Below are 17,128 nucleotides of genomic sequence, written 5' to 3'. Positions count from 1 at the left end.
CTTCTATCTAGCTTTTATTGGAAGATACTTCCTTTTTCACCGTAGTCCTCCCAACTCTACTAAAAATACAAAAAATTGGCTGGGCAAGGTGGTGTGCACCCGTAATCCTAGCTACTCAGGAAGCTGAGGCAGGAGAATCGCTTGAACCCGGGAGGTAGAGGTTGCAGTGAGCCGAGATTGCGATACTGCACTCCAGCCTGGGCAACAGAGCATGACTCTGTCTCAAAAAGCTGTCTGCTTTGTATAATTAATCCCGTTTCCAACGAAATCCTCAAAGCTATCCAAATATCCTCTTGCAGATATTACAAAAAGAGTGTTTCAAAACTGCTCTATCAAAAGAAAGCTTCAACACTGTTAGTTGAGGGCGCACATCACAAATAAGTTTCTGAGAATGCTGCTGTCTGCTTTTTATATGTAATCCCGTTTCCAACGAAATCCTCAAAGCTAGACAAATATCCACTTGCAGATTCCACAAAAAGAGTTTTTCAAAACTGCTCTATCAAAAGAATGCTTCAAAACTGTTAGTTGAGGGCGCACATCACAAATAAGTTTCTGAGAATGCTTCTGTCTAGTTTTCAGGGGAAGATATTTCCTTTTAAACCATAGGCCTGAAAGCGCTCCAAATGTCCACATCCAGATACTACAAAAAGAGTGTTTCAAACCTGCTCTATGAAAGGGAATGTTCAACACTGTGACTTCAATTGAAACATCCCAATGACGCTTCTGAGAATGCTTCTGTCTAGAGTTTATATGAAGACAATCCCGTTTCCAACGAAATCCTCAAAGCTATCCAAATATCCTCTTGCAGATATTACAAAAAGAGTGTTTCAAAACTGCTCTATCAAAAGAAAGCTTCAACACTGTTAGTTGAGGGCGCACATCACAAATAAGTTTCTGAGAATGCTTCTGTCTAGTTTTCAGGGGAAGATATTTCCTTTTTCACCATAGGCCTGAAAGCGCTCCAAATGTCCACATCCAGATATTACAAAAAGAGTGTTTCAAACGTGCTCTATGAAAGGGAATGTTCAACTCTGTGACTTGAATGCAAACATCACAAAGAAGATTACTGGGAATGCTGCTGTCTGCTTTTTATATGTAATCCCGTTTCCAACGAAATCCTCAAAGCTAGACAAATATCCACTTGCAGATTCCACAAAAGAGTGTTTCAAAACTGCTCTGTCAAAAGAAAGCTTCAACTCTGTTAGCTGAGTAGATACATCATGAAAAATTTTCTGACATTGCTTCTATGTAGCTTTTATTGGAAGATATTTCCTTTTTCACCGCAGTCCTGAGAGCGCTCGAAATGTCCACTTCCAGATACTACAAAAAGAGTGTTTCAAACCTGTTCTATGAAAGGGACTGTTCAACACTGTGACTTCAATTGAAACATCCCAATGAAGCTTCTGAGAATGCTTCTGTCTAGAGTTTATATGAAGACAATCCCGTTTCCAACGAAATCCTCAAAGCTATCCAAATATCCTCTTGCAGATATTACAAAAAGAGTGTTTCAAAACTGCTCTATCAAAAGAAAGGTTCAACACTGTTAGTTGAGGGCGCACATCACAAATAAGTTTACTGAGAATGCTGCTGTCTGCTTTTTATATGTAATCCCGTTTCCAACGAAATCCTCAAAGCTAGACAAATATCCACTTGCAGATTCCACAAAAAGAGTGTTTCAAAACTGCTCTATCAAAAGAAAGCTTCAACACTGTTAGTTGAGGGCGCACATCACAAATAAGTTTCTGAGAATGCTTCTGTCTAGTTTTCAGGGGAAGATATTTCCTTTTTCACCATATGCCTGAAAGCGCTCCAAATGTCCACATCCAGATACTACAAAAAGAGTGTTTCAAACCTGCTCTATGAAAGGGACTGTTCAACACTGTGACTTCAATTGAAACATCCCAATGAAGCTTCTGAGAATGCTTCTGTCTAGATTTTATATGAAGACAATCCCGTTTCCAACGAAATCCTGAAAGCTATCAAAATATCCTCTTGCAGATTTTACGAAAAGAGTGTTTCAAAACTGCTCTATCAAAAGAAAGCTTCAACACTGTTAGTTGAGGGTGCACATCACAAATAAGATTCTGAGAATGCTTCTGTCTAGTTTTCAGGGGAAGATATTTCCTTTTTCACCATAGGCCTGAAAGCGCTCCAAATGTCCACATACAGATACTACAAAAAGAGTGTTTCAAACCTGCTCTATGAAAGGGAATGTTCAACTCTGTGACTTGAATGCAAACTTCACAAAGAAGTTTACTGGGAATGCTGGCTGTCTGCTTTTTATATGTAATCCCGTTTCCAACGAAATCCTCAAAGCTAGACAAATATCCACCTGCAGATCCAACAAAAAGAGTGTTTCAAAACTGCTCTCTCAAAAAAAAGGTTCAACTCTGTTAGCTGAGTAGATACATCATGAAAAAGTTTCTGACATTGCTTCTATCTAGCTTTTATTGGAAGATATTTCCTTTTTCACCGTAGTCCTGAGAACGCTCCAAATGTCCACTTCCAGATACTACAAAAAGAGTGTTTCAAACCTGCTATATGAAAGGGACTGTTCAACACTGTGACTTCAGTTGAAACATCCCAATGAAGCTTCTGAGAATGCTTCTTTCTAGAGTTTATATGAAGACAATCCCGTTTCCAACGAAATCCTCAAAGCTATCCAAATATTCTCTTGCAGATATTACAAAAAGAGTGTTTCAAAACTGCTCTATCAAAATAAAGCTTCAACACTGTTAGTTGAGGGCGCACATCACAAATAAGTTTCTGAGAATGCTGCTGTCTGCTTTTTATAATTAATCCCGTTTCCAACGAAATCCTCAAAGCTATCCAAATATCCTCTTGCAGATATTACAAAAAGAGTGTTTCAAAACTGCTCTATCAAAAGAAAGGTTCAACACTGTTAGTTGAGGGCGCACATCACAAATAAGTTTCTGAGAATGCTTCTGTCTAGTTTTCAGGGGAAGATATTTCCTTTTTCACCATAGGCCTGAAAGCGCTCCAAATGTCCACATCCAGATACTACAAAAAGAGTGTTTCAAACCTGCTCTATGAAAGGGACTGTTCAACACTGTGACTTCAATTGAAACATCCCAATGAAGCTTCTGAGAATGCTTCTGTCTAGAGTTTATATGAAGACAATCCCGTTTCCAACGAAATCCTCAAAGCTATCCAAATATCCTCTTGCAGATTTTACAAAAAGAGTGTTTCAAAACTGCTCTATCAAAAGAAAGCTTCAACTCTGTTAGTTGAGGGCGCACATCACAAATAAGATTCTGAGAATGCTTCTGTCTAGTTTTCAGGGGAAGATATTTCCTTTTTCACCATAGGCCTGAAAGCGCTCCAAATGTCCACATCCAGATACTACAAAAAGAGTGTTTCAAACCTGCTGTATGAAAGGGAATGTTCAACTCTGTGACTTGAATGCAAACATCACAAAGAAGTTACTGGGAATGCTGCTGTCTGCTTTTTATATGTAATCCCGTTTCCAACGAAATCCTCAAAGCTAGACAAATATCCACTTGCAGATTCCACAAAAAGAGTGTTTCAAAACTGCTCTCTCAAAGGAAAGGTTCAACTCTGTTAGCTGAGTAGATACATCATGAAAAAGTTTCTGACATTGCTTCTATGTAGCTTTTATTGGAAGATATTTCCTTTTTCACCGCAGTCCTGAGAGCGCTCCAAATGTCCACTTCCAGATACTACAAAAAGAGTGTTTCAAACCTGCTCTATGAAAGGGACTGTTCAACACTGTGACTTCAATTGAAACATCCCAATGAAGCTTCTGAGAATGCTTCTGTCTAGATTCTATATGAAGACAATCCCGTTTCCAACGAAATCCTCAAAGCTATCCAAATATCCTCTTGCAGATTTTACAAAAAGAGTGTTTCAAAACTGCTCTATCAAAAGAAAAGTTCCACACTGTTAGTTGAGGGCGCACATCACAAATAAGTTTGCTGAGAATGCTGCTGTCTGCTTTTTATATGTAATCCCGTTTCCAACGAAATCCTCAAAGCTAGACAAACATCCACTTGCAGATTCCACAAAAAGAGTGTTTCAAAACTGCTCTATCAAAAGAAAGCTTCAACACTGTTAGTTGAGGGCGCACATCACAAATAAGTTTCTGAGAATGCTTCTGTCTAGTTTTCAGGGGAAGATATTTCCTTTTTCACCATAGGCCTGAAAGCGCTCAAATGTCCACATCCAGATACTACAAAAAGAGTGTTTCAAACCTGCTCTATGAAAGGGACTGTTCAACATTGTGACTTCAATTGAAACATCCCCATGATGCTTCTGAGAATGCTTCTGTCTAGAGTTTATATGAAGACAATCCCGTTTCCAAAGAAATCCTCAAAGCTATCCAAATATCCTCTTGCAGATATTACAAAAAGAGTGTTTCAAAACTGCTCTATCAAAAGAAAGGTTCAACACTGTTAGTTGAGGGCGCACATCACAAATAAGTTTCTGAGAATGCTTCTGTCTAGTTTTCAGGGGAAGATATTTCCTTTTTCACCATAGGACTGAAAGCGCTCCAAATGTCCACATCCAGATACTACAAAAAGAGTGTTTCAAACCTGCTCTATGAAAGGGAATGTTCAACTCGGTGACTTGAATGCAAACATCACAAAGAAGTTTCTGGGAATGCTGCTGTCTGCTTTTTATATGTAATCCCGTTTCCAACGAAATCCTCAAAGCTAGACAAATATCCACTTGCAGATTCCACAAAAAGAGTGTTTCAAAACGGCTCTCTCAAAACAAAGGTTCAACTCTGTTAGCTGAGTAGATACATCATGAAAAAGTTTCTGACATTGCTTCTATGTAGCTTTTATTGGAAGATATTTCCTTTTTCACCGTAGTCCTGAGAGCGCTCCAAATGTCCACTTCCAGATACTACAAAAAGAGTGTTTCAAACCTGCTCTATGAAAGGGACTGTTCAACACTGTGACTTCAATTGAAACATCCCAATGAAGCTTCTGAGAATGCTTCTGTCTAGAGTTTATATGAAGACAATCCCGTTTCCAACGAAATCCTCAAAGCTATCCAAATATCCTCTTGCAGATATTACAAAAAGAGTGTTTCAAAACTGCTCTATCAAAAGAAAGCTTCAACACTGTTCGTTGAGGGCGCACATCACAAATAAGATTCTGAGAATGCTGCTGTCTGCTTTTTATATGTAATCCCGTTTCCAACGAAATCCTCAAAGCTAGACAAATATCCACTTGCAGATTCCACAAAAAGAGTGTTTCAAAACTGCTCTATCAAAAGAAAGCTTCAACACTGTTAGTTGAGGGCGCACATCACAAATAAGTTTCTGAGAATGCTTCTGTCTAGTTTTCAGGGGAAGATATTTCCTTTTAAACCATAGGCCTGAAAGCGCTCCAAATGTCCACATCCAGATACTACAAAAAGAGTGTTTCAAACCTGCTCTATGAAAGGGAATGTTCAACACTGTGACTTCAATTGAAACATCCCAATGACGCTTCTGAGAATGCTTCTGTCTAGAGTTTATATGAAGACAATCCCGTTTCCAACGAAATCCTCAAAGCTATCCAAATATCCTCTTGCAGATTTTACAAAAAGAGTGTTTCAAAACTGCTCTATCAAAAGAAAGCTTCAACACTGTTAGTTGATGGCGCACATCACAAATAAGATTCTGAGAATTCTTCTGTCCAGTTTTCAGGGGAAGATATTTCCTTTTTCACCATAGGCCTGAAAGCGCTCCAAATGTCCACATCCAGATACTACAAAAAGAGTGTTTCAAACCTGCTCTATGAAAGGGAATGTTCAACTCTGTGACTTGAATGCAAACGTCACAAAGAAGTTACTGGGAATGCTGCTGTCTGCTTTTTATATGTAATCCCGTTTCCAACGAAATCCTCAAAGCTAGACAAATATCCACTTGCAGATTCCACAAAAAGAGTGTTTCAAAACTGCTCTCTCAAAAGAAAGGTTCAACTCTGTTAGCTGAGTAGATACATCATGAAAAAGTTTCTGACATTGCTTCTATCTAGCTTTTATTGGAAGATATTTCCTTTATCACCGTATTCCTGAGATCTCTCCAAATGTCCACTTCCAGATACTACAAAAAGAGTGTTTCAAACCTGCTCTATGAAAGGGACTGTTCAACACTGTGACTTCAATTGAAACATCCCAATGAAGCTTCTGAGAATGCTTCTTTCTAGAGTTTATATGAAGACAATCCCGTTTCCAACGAAATCCTCAAAGCTATCCAAATATTCTCTTGCAGATATTACAAAAAGAGTGTTTCAAAACTGCTCTATCAAAATAAAGCTTCAACACTGTTAGTTGAGGGCGCACATCACAAATAAGTTTCTGAGAATGCTGCTGTCTGCTTTTTATATGTAATCCCGTTTCCAACGAAATCCTCAAAGCTAGACAAATATCCACTTGCAGATTCCACAAAAAGAGTGTTTCAAAACTGCTCTATCAAAAGAAAGCTTCAACACTGTTAGTTGAGGGCGCACATCACAAATAAGTTTCTGAGAATGCTTCTGTCTAGTTTTCAGGGGAAGATACTTCCTTTTAAACCATAGGCCTGAAAGCGCTCCAAATGTCCACATCCAGATACTACAAAAAGAGTGTTTCAAACCTGCTCTATGAAAGGGAATGTTCAACACTGTGACTTCAATTGAAACATCCCAATGACGCTTCTGAGAATGCTTCTGTCTAGAGTTTATATGAAGACAATCCCGTTTCCAAAGAAATCCTCAAAGCTATCCAAATATCCTCTTGCAGATATTACAAAAAGAGTGTTTCAAATCTGCTCTATCAAAAGAAAGGTTCAACACTGTTAGTTGAGGGCGCACATCACAAATAAGTTTCTGAGAATGCTTCTGTCTAGTTTTCAGGGGAAGATATTTCCTTTTTCACCATAGGCCTGAAAGCGCTCCAAATGTCCACAACCAGATATTACAAAAAGAGTGTTTCAAACCTGCTCTATGAAAGGGAATGTTCAACTCTGTGACTTGAATGCAAACATCACAAAGAAGTTTCCTGGGAATGCTGCTGTCTGCTTTTTATATGTAATCCCGTTTCCAACGAAATCCTCAAAGCTAGACAAATATCCACTTGCAGATTCCACAAAAAGAGTGTTTCAAAACTGCTCTCTCAAAGGAAAGTTTCAACTCTGTTAGCTGAGTAGATACGTCATGAAAAAGTTTCTGACATTGCTTCTATGTAGCTTTTATTGGAAGATATTTCCTTTTTCACCGTAGTCCTGAGAGCGCTCCAAATGTCCACTTCCAGATACTACAAAAAGAGTGTTTCAAACGTGTTCTATGAAAGGAACTGTTCAACACTGTGACTTCAATTGAAACATCCCAATGAAGCTTCTGAGAATGCTGCTGTCTGCTTTGTATAATTAATCCCGTTTCCAACGAAATCCTCAAAGCTATCCAAATATCCTCTTGCAGATATTACAAAAAGAGTGTTTCAAAACTGCTCTATCAAAAGAAAGCTTCAACACTGTTAGTTGAGGGCGCACATCACAAATAAGTTTCTGAGAATGCTGCTGTCTGCTTTTTATATGTAATCCCGTTTCCAACGAAATCCTCAAAGCTAGACAAATATCCACTTGCAGATTCCACAAAAAGAGTGTTTCAAAACTGCTCTATCAAAAGAAAGCTTCAACACTGTTAGTTGAGGGCGCACATCACAAATAAGTTTCTGAGAATGCTTCTGTCTAGTTTTCAGGGGAAGATATTTCCTTTTAAACCATAGGCCTGAAAGCGCTCCAAATGTCCACATCCAGATACTACAAAAAGAGTGTTTCAAACCTGCTCTATGAAAGGGAATGTTCAACACTGTGACTTCAATTGAAACATCCCAATGACGCTTCTGAGAATGCTTCTGTCTAGAGTTTATGTGAAGACAATCCCGTTTCCAACGAAATCCTCAAAGCTATCCAAATACCCTCTTGCAGATATTACAAAAAGAGTGTTTCAAAACTGCTCTATCAAAAGAAAGCTTCAACACTGTTAGTTGAGGGCGCACATCACAAATAAGATTCTGAGAATGCTTCTGTCTAGTTTTCAGGAGAAGATATTTCCTTTTTCACCACAGGCCTGAAAGCGCTCCAAATGTCCACATCCAGATACTATAAAAAGAGTGTTTCAAACCTGCTCTATGAAAGGGAATGTTCAACTCTGTGACTTGAATGCAAACATCACAAAGAAGATTGCTGGGAATGCTGCTGTCTGCTTTTTATATGTAATCCCGTTTCCAACGAAATCCTCAAAGCTAGACAAATATCCACTTGCAGATTCCACAAAAAGAGTGTTTCAAAACTGCTCTCTCAAAAGAAAGGTTCAACTCTGTTAGCTGAGTAGATACATCATGAAAAAGTTTCTGACATTGCTTCTATCTAGCTTTTATTGGAAGATATTTCCTTTATCACCGTATTCCTGAGAACTCTCCAAATGTCCACTTCCAGATACTACAAAAAGAGTGTTTCAAACCTGCTCTATGAAAGGGACTGTTCAACACTGTGACTTCAATTGAAACATCCCAATGAAGCTTCTGAGAATGCTTCTGTCTAGAGTTTATATGAAGACAATCCCGTTTCCAACGAAATCCTCAAAGCTATCCAAATATCCTCTTGCAGATTTTACGAAAAGAGTGTTTCAAAACTGCTCTATCAAAAGAAAGCTTCAACACTGTTAGTTGAGGGCGCTAATCACAAATAAGATTCTGAGAATGCTGCTGTCTGCTTTTTATATGTAATCCCGTTTCCAACGAAATCCTCAAAGCTATCCAAATATCCTCTTGCAGATATTACAAAAAGAGTGTTTCAAAACTGCTCTATCAAAAGAAAGGTTCAACACTGTTAGTTGAGGGCTCACATCACAAATAAGTTTCTGAGAATGCTTTTGTCTAGTTTTCAGGGGAAGATATTTCCTTTTTCACCTTATGCCTGAAAGCGCTGCAAATGTCCACATCCAGATACTACAAAAAGAGTGTTTCAAACCTGCTCTATCAAAGGGACTGTTCAACACTGTGACTTCAATTGAAACATCCCAATGAAGCTTCTGAGAATGCTTCTGTCTAGATTGTATATGAAGACAATCCCGTTTCCAACGAAATCCTCAAAGCTATCCAAATATCCTCTTGCAGATTTTACAAAAAGAGTGTTTCAAAACTGCTCTATCAAAAGAAAGGTTCAACACTGTTAGTTGAGGGCGCACATCACAAATAAGTTTCTGAGAATGCTTCTATCTAGCTTTTATTGGAAGATATTTCCTTTATCACCGGAGTCCTGAGAGCGCTCCAAATGTCCACTTCCAGATACTACAAAAAGAGTGTTTCAAACCTGCTCTATGAAAGGGAATGTTCAACTCTGTGACTTGAATGCAAACATCACAAAGAAGATTCTGGGAATGCTGCTGTCTGCTTTTTATATGTAATCCCGTTTCCAACGAAATCCTCAAAGCTAGACAAATATCCACTTGCAGATTCCACAAAAAGAGTGTTTCAAAACTGCTCTCTCAAAGGAAAGGTTCAACTCTGTTAGCTGAGTAGATACATCATGAAAAAGTTTCTGACATTGCTTCTATCTAGCTTTTATTGGAAGATATTTCCTTTAACACCGTATTCCTGAGATCTCTCCAAATGTCCACTTCCAGATACTACAAAAAGAGTGTTTCAAACCTGCTCTATGAAAGGGACTGTTCAACACTGTGACTTCAATTAAAACATCCCAATGAAGCTTCTGAGAATGCTTCTGTCTAGAGTTTATATGAAGACAATCCCGTTTCCAACGAAATCCTCAAAGCTATCCAAATATCCTCTTGCAGATATTACAAAAAGAGTGTTTCAAAACTGCTCTATCAAAAGAAAGGTTCAACACTGTTAGTTGAGGGCGCACATCACAAATAAGTTTACTGAGAATGCTGCTGTCTGCTTTTTATATGTAATCCCGTTTCCAACGAAATCCTCAAAGCTAGACAAATATCCACTTGCAGATTCCACAAAAAGAGTGTTTCAAACCTGCTCTATGAAATGGAATGTTCAACACTGTGACTTGAATGCAAACATCACAAAGAAGTTACTGGGAATGCTTCTGTCTAGTTTTCAGGGGAAGATATTTCCTTTTAAACCATAGGCCTGAAAGCGCTCCAAATGTCCACATCCAGATACTACAAAAAGAGTGTTTCAAACCTGCTCTATGAAAGGGACTGTTCAACACTGTGACTTCAATTGAAACATCCCAATGACGCTTCTGAGAATGCTTCTGTCTAGAGTTTATATGAAGACAATCCCGTTTTCAACGAAATCCTCAAAGCTATCCAAATATCCTCTTGCAGATTTTACAAAAAGAGTGTTTCAAAACTGCTCTATCAAAAGAAAGCTTCAACACTGTTAGTTGAGGGCGCACATCACAAATAAGATTCTGAGAATGCTTCTGTCTAGTTTTCAGGGGAAGATATTTCCTTTTTCACCATAGGCCTGAAAGCGCTCCAAATGTCCACATCCAGATACTACAAAAAGAGTGTTTCAAACCTGCTCTCTGAAAGGGAATGTTCAACTCTGTGTCTTGAATGTAAACATCACAAACAAGATTCTGGGAATGCTGCTGTCTGCTTTTTATATGTAATCCCGTTTCCAACGAAATCCTCAAAGCTAGACAAATATCCACTTGCAGATTCCACAAAAAGAGTGTTTCAAAACTGCTCTATCAAAAGAAAGCTTCAACACTGTTAGTTGAGGGCGCACATCACAAATAAGTTTCTGAGAATGCTTCTGTCTAGTTTTCAGGGGAAGATATTTCCTTTTTCACCATAGGCCTGAAAGCGCTCCAAATGTCCACATCCAGATACTACAAAAAGAGTGTTTCAAACCTGCTCTATGAAAGGGAATGTTCAACTCTGTGACTTGAATGCAAACATGACAAAGAAGTTTCTGGGAATGCTGCTGTCTGCTTTTCATATGTAATACGGTTTCCAACGAAATCCTCAAACCTAGACAAATATCCACTTGCAGATTCCACAAAAAGAGTGTTTCAAAACTTCTCTCTCAAAAGAAAGGTTAAATTCTGTTAGCTGAGTAGATACATAATGAAAAATTTTCTGACATTGCTTCTATCTAGCTTTTATTGGAAGATACTTCCTTTTTCACCGTAGTCCTGAGAGCGCTCCAAATGTCCACTTCCAGATACTACAAAAAGAGTGTTTCAAACCTGCTCTATGAAAGGGACTGTTCAACACTGTGACTTCAATTGAAACATCCCAATGAAGCTTCTGAGAATGCTTCTGTCTAGAGTTTATATGAAGACAATCCCGTTTCCAACGAAATCCTCAAAGCTATCCAAATATCCTCTTGCAGATATTACAAAAAGAGTGTTTCAAAACTGCTCTATCAAAAGAAAGGTTCAACACTGTTAGTTGAGGGCGCACATCACAAATAAGTTTACTGAGAATGCTGCTGTCTGCTTTTTATATGTAATCCCGTTTCCAACGAAATCCTCAAAGCTAGACAAATATCCACGTGCAGATTCCACAAAAAGAGTGTTTCAAAACTGCTCTATCAAGAGAAAGCTTCAACACTGTTAGTTGAGGGCGCACATCACAAATAAGTTTCTGAGAATGCTTCTGTCTAGTTTTCAGGGGAAGATATTTCCTTTTTCACCATAGGCCTGAAAGCGCTCCAAATGTCCACATCCAGATACTACAAAAAGAGTGTTTCAAACCTGCTCTATGAAAGGGACTGTTCAACACTGTGACTTCAATTGAAACATCCCAATGAAGCTTCTGAGAATGCTTCTGTCTAGAGTTTATATGAAGACAATCCCGTTTCCAACGAAATCCTCAAAGCTATCCAAATATCCTCTTGCAGATTTTACAAAAAGAGTGTTTCAAAACTGCTCTATCAAAAGAAAGCTTCAACACTGTTAGTTGAGGGCGCACATCACAAATAAGATTCTGAGAATGCTTCTGTCTAGTTTTCAGGAGAAGATATTTCCTTTTTCACCATAGGCCTGAAAGCGCTCCAAATGTCCACATCCAGATACTATAAAAAGAGTGTTTCAAACCTGCTCTCTGAAAGGGAATGTACAACTCTGTGACTTGAATGCAAACATCACAAACAAGATTCTGGGAATGCTGCTGTCTGCTTTTTATATGTAATCCCGTTTCCAACGAAATCCTCAAAGCTAGACAAATATCCACTTGCAGATTCCACAAAAAGAGTGTTTCAAAACTGCTCTCTCAAAGGAAAGGTTCAACTCTGTTAGCTGAGTAGATACATCTTGAAAAAGTTTCTCACATTGCTTCTATCTAGCTTTTATTGGAAGATATTTCCTTTATCACCGGAGTCCTGAGAGCGCTCCAAATGTCCACTTCCAGATACTACAAAAAGAGTGTTTCAAACCTGCTCTATGAAAGGGACTGTTCAACACTGTGACTTCAATTGAAACATCCCAATGAAGCTTCTGAGAATGCTTCTGTGTAGTTTTCAGGGGAAGATATTTCCTTTTTCACCATAGGCCTGAAAGCGCTCCAAATGTCCACATCCAGATACTTCAAAAAGAGTGTTTCAAACCTGCTCTATGAAAGGGAATGTTCAACTCTGTGACTTGAATGCAAACATCACAAAGAAGATTCTGGGAATGCTGCTGTCTGCTTTTTATATGTATTCCCGTTTCCAACGAAATCCTCAAAGCTAGACAAATATCCACTTGCAGATTCCACAAAAAGAGTGTTTCAAAACTGCTCTATCAAAAGAAAGCTTCAACACTGTTAGTTGAGGGCGCACATCACAAATAAGTTTCTGAGAATGCTTCTGTCTAGTTTTCAGGGGAAGATATTTCCTTTTTCACCTTATGCCTGAAAGCGCTGCAAATGTCCACATCCAGATACTACAAAAACAGTGTTTCAAACCTGCTCTATCAAAGGGACTGTTCAACACTGTGACTTCAATTGAAACATCCCAATGAAGCTTCTGAGAATGCTTCTGTCTAGAGTTTATATGAAGACAATCCCGTTTCCAACGAAATCCTCAAAGCTATCCAAATATCCTCTTGCAGATTTTACAAAAAGAGTGTTTCAAAACTGCTCTATCAAAAGAAAGCTTCAACTCTGTTAGTTGAGGGCGCACATCACAAATAAGATTCTGAGAATGCTTCTATCTAGCTTTTATTGGAAGATATTTCCTTTATCACCGTATTCCTGAGATCTCTCCAAATGTCCACTTCCAGATACTACAAAAAGAGTGTTTCAAACCTGCTCTATGAAAGGGAATGTTCAACTCTGTGACTTGAATGCAAACATCACAAAGAAGTTTCTGGGAATGCTGCTGTCTGCTTTTTATATGTAATCCCGTTTCCAACGAAATCCTCAAAGCTAGACAAATATCCACTTCCAGATTCCACAAAAAGAGTGTTTCAAAACTGCTCTCTCAAAAGAAAGGTTCAACTCTGTTAGCTGAGTAGATATATCATGAAAAAGTTTCTGACATTGCTTCTATCTAGCTTTTATTGGAAGATATTTCCTTTATCACCGTATTCCTGAGATCTCTCCAAATGTCCACTTCCAGATACTACAAAAAGAGTGTTTCAAACCTGCTCTATGAAAGGGACTGTTCAACACTGTGACTTCAATTGAAACATCCCAATGAAGCTTCTGAGAATGCTTCTGTCTAGAGTTTATATGAAGACAATCCCGTTTCCAACGAAATCCTCAAAGCTATCCAAATATCCTCTTGCAGATATTACAAAAAGAGTGTTTCAAAACTGCTCTATCAAAAGAAAGGTTCAACACTGTTAGTTGAGGGCGCACATCACAAATAAGTTTACTGAGAATGCTGCTGTCTGCTTTTTATATGTAATCCCGTTTCCAACGAAATCCTCAAAGCTAGACAAATATCCACTTGCAGATTCCACAAAAAGAGTGTTTCAAAACTGCTCTATCAAAAGAAAGCTTCAACACTGTTAGTTGAGGGCGCACATCACAAATAAGTTTCTGAGAATGCTTCTGTCTAGTTTTCAGGGGAAGATATTTCCTTTTAAACCATAGGCCTGAAAGCGCTCCAAATGTCCACATCCAGATACTACAAAAAGAGTGTTTCAAACCTGCTCTATGAAAGGGACTGTTCAACACTGTGACTTCAATTGAAACATCCCAATGAAGCTTCTGAGAATGCTACTGTCTAGGGTTAATATGAAGACAATCCCGTTTCCAACGAAATCCTCAAAGCTATCCAAATATCCTCTTGCAGATTTTACAAGAAGAGTGTTTCAAAACTACTCTATCAACAGAAAGGTTCAACATTGTTAGTTGAGGGCGCACATCACAAATAAGTTTCTGAGAATGCTTCTGTCTAGTTTTCAGGGGAAGATATTTCCGTTTTCACCATAGGCCTGAAAGCGCTCCAAATGTCCACATCCAGATACTACAAAAAGAGTGTTTCAAACCTGCTCTATGAAAGGGAATGTTCAACTCTGTGACTTGAATGCAAATATCACAAAGAAGTTTCTGGGAATGCTGCTGTCTGCTTTTTATATGTAATCCCGTTTCCAACGAAATCCTCAAAGCTAGACAAATATCCACTTGCAGATTCCACAAAAAGAGTGTTTCAAAACTGCTCTCTCAAAAGAAAGGTTCAACTCTGTTAGCTGAGTGGATACATCATGAAAAAGTTTCTGACATTGCTTCTATCTAGCTTTTATTGGAAGATATTTCCTTTTTCACCGTAGTCCTGACAGCGCTCCAAATGTCCACTTCCAGATACCACAAAAAGAGTGTCTCAAACCTGCTCTATGAAAGGGACTGTTCAACACTGTGACTTCAATTGAAACATCCCAATGAAGTTACTGAGAATGCTTCTGTCTAGAGTTTATATGAAGACAATCCCGTTTCCAACGAAATCCTCAAAGCTATCCAAATATCCTCTTGCAGATATTACAAAAAGAGTGTTTCAAAACTGCTCTATCAAAAGAAAGGTTCAACACTGTTAGTTGAGGGCGCACATCACAAATAAGTTTACTGAGAATGCTGCTGTCTGCTTTTTATATGTAATCCCGTTTCCAACGAAATCCTCAAAGCTATCCAAATATCCTCTTGCAGATATTACAAAAAGAGTGTTTCAAAACTGCTCTATCAAAAGAAAGGTTCAACACTGTTAGTTGAGGGCGCACATCACAAATAAGTTTCTGAGAATGCTTCTGTCTAGTTTTCAGGGGAAGATATTTCCTTTTAAACCATAGGCCTGAAAGCGCTCCAAATGTCCACATCCAGATACTACAAAAAGAGTGTTTCAAACCTGCTCTATGAAAGGGACTGTTCAACACTGTGACTTCAATTGAAACATCCCAATGACGCTTCTGAGAATGCTTCTGTCTAGAGTTTATATGCAGACAATCCCGTTTCCAACGAAATCCTCAAAGCTATCCAAATATCCTCTTGCAGATTTTACAAAAAGCGTGTTTCAAAACGGCTCTGTGAAAAGAAAGCTTCAACACTGTTAGTTGAGGGCGCACATCACAAATAAGTTTCTGAGACTACTTCTGTCTAGTTTTCAGGGGAAGATATTTCCTTTTTCACCATAGGCCTGAAAGCGCTCCAAATTTCCATATCCAGATACTACAAAAAGAGTGTTTCAAACCTGCTCTATGAAAGGGAATGTTCAACTCTGTCACTTAAATGCAAACATCACAAAGAAGTTTCTGGGAATGCTGCTGTCTGCTTTTTATATGTAATCCCGTTTCCAACGAAATCCTCAATGCTAGACAAATATCCACTTGCAGATTCCACAAAAAGAGTGTTTCAAAACTGCTCTCTCAAAAGAAAGGTTCAACTCTGTTAGCTGAGTAGATACATCATGAAAAAGTTTCTGACATTGCTTCTATCTAGCTTTTATTGGAAGATATTTCCTTTTTCACTGTAGTCCTGAGAGCGCTCCAAATGTCCACTTCCAGATACTACAAAAAGAGTGTTTCAAACCTGCTCTATGACAGGGAATGTTCAACACTGTGACTTCAATTGAAACATCCGAAAGAAATTTCTGAGAATGCTGCTGTCTGCTTTGTATAATTAATCCCGTTTCCAACGAAATCCTCAAAGCTATCCAAATATCCTCTTGCAGATATTACAAAAAGAGTGTTTCAAAACTGCTCTATCAAAAGAAAGCTTCAACACTGTTAGTTGAGGGCGCACATCACAAATAAGTTTCTGAGAATGCTGCTGTCTGCTTTTTATATGTAATCCCGTTTCCAACGAAATCCTCAAAGCTAGACAAACATCCACTTGCAGATTCCACAAAAAGAGTGTTTCAAATCTGCTCTATCAAAAGAAAGCTTCAACACTGTTAGTTGAGGGCGCACATCACAAATAAGTTTCTGAGAATGCTTCTGTCTAGTTTTCAGGGGAAGATATTTCCTTTTAAACCATAGGCCTGAAAGCGCTCCAAATGTCCACATCCAGATACTACAAAAAGAGTGTTTCAAACCTGCTCTATGAAAGGGACTGTTCAACACTGCAACTTCAATTGAAACATCCCAATGAAGCTTCTGAGAATGCTTCTGTCTAGAGTTTATATGAAGACAATCCCGTTTCCAACGAAATCCTCAAAGCTATCCAAATATCCTCTTGCAGATTTTACAAAAAGAGTGTTTGAAAACTGCTCTATCAAAAGAAAGCTTCAACACTGTTAGTTTAGGGCGCACATCACAAATAAGATTCTGAGAATGCTTCTGTCTAGTTTTCAGGGGAAGATATTTCCTTTTTCACCATAGGCCTGAAAGCGCTCCAAATGTCCACATACAGATACTACAAAAAGAGTGTTTCAAACCTGCTCTATGAAAGGGAATGTTCAACTCTGTGACTTGAATGCAAACTTCACAAAGAAGTTTCTGGGAATGCTTCTGTCTAGAGTTTATATGAAGACAATCCCGTTTCCAACGAAATCCTCAAAGCTATCCAAATATCCTCTTGCAGATTTTACAAAAAGAGTGTTTCAAACCTGCTCTCTCAAAAGAATGGTTCAACTCTGTTAGCTGAGTAGATACATCATGAAAAAGTTTCTGACATTGCTTCTATCTAGCTTTTATTGGAAGATACTTCCTTTTTCACCGTAGTCCTGAGAGCGCTCCAAATGTCCACTTCCAGATACTACAAAA

General features: G+C 38.5%; 1 annotated feature.

The window, feature by feature from the left end:
- Positions 1-17,128: part of a centromere (Linear centromere model derived predominantly from reads generated in PMID: 17803354. This region does not represent an actual centromere sequence, as long-range ordering of repeats and unmapped WGS contigs is not provided by the model. For details of model production, see http://arxiv.org/abs/1307.0035.) that runs on past both edges of the window.

The sequence above is a fragment of the Homo sapiens genome, chromosome 2 (assembly GCF_000001405.40).
Source record: "Homo sapiens chromosome 2, GRCh38.p14 Primary Assembly".
In the NCBI taxonomy this organism is placed as follows: domain Eukaryota; kingdom Metazoa; phylum Chordata; class Mammalia; order Primates; family Hominidae; genus Homo; species Homo sapiens.
The sequence above is the reverse complement of the archived record's forward strand: the minus strand, read 5'-3'. Positions and strand labels throughout refer to the sequence as shown.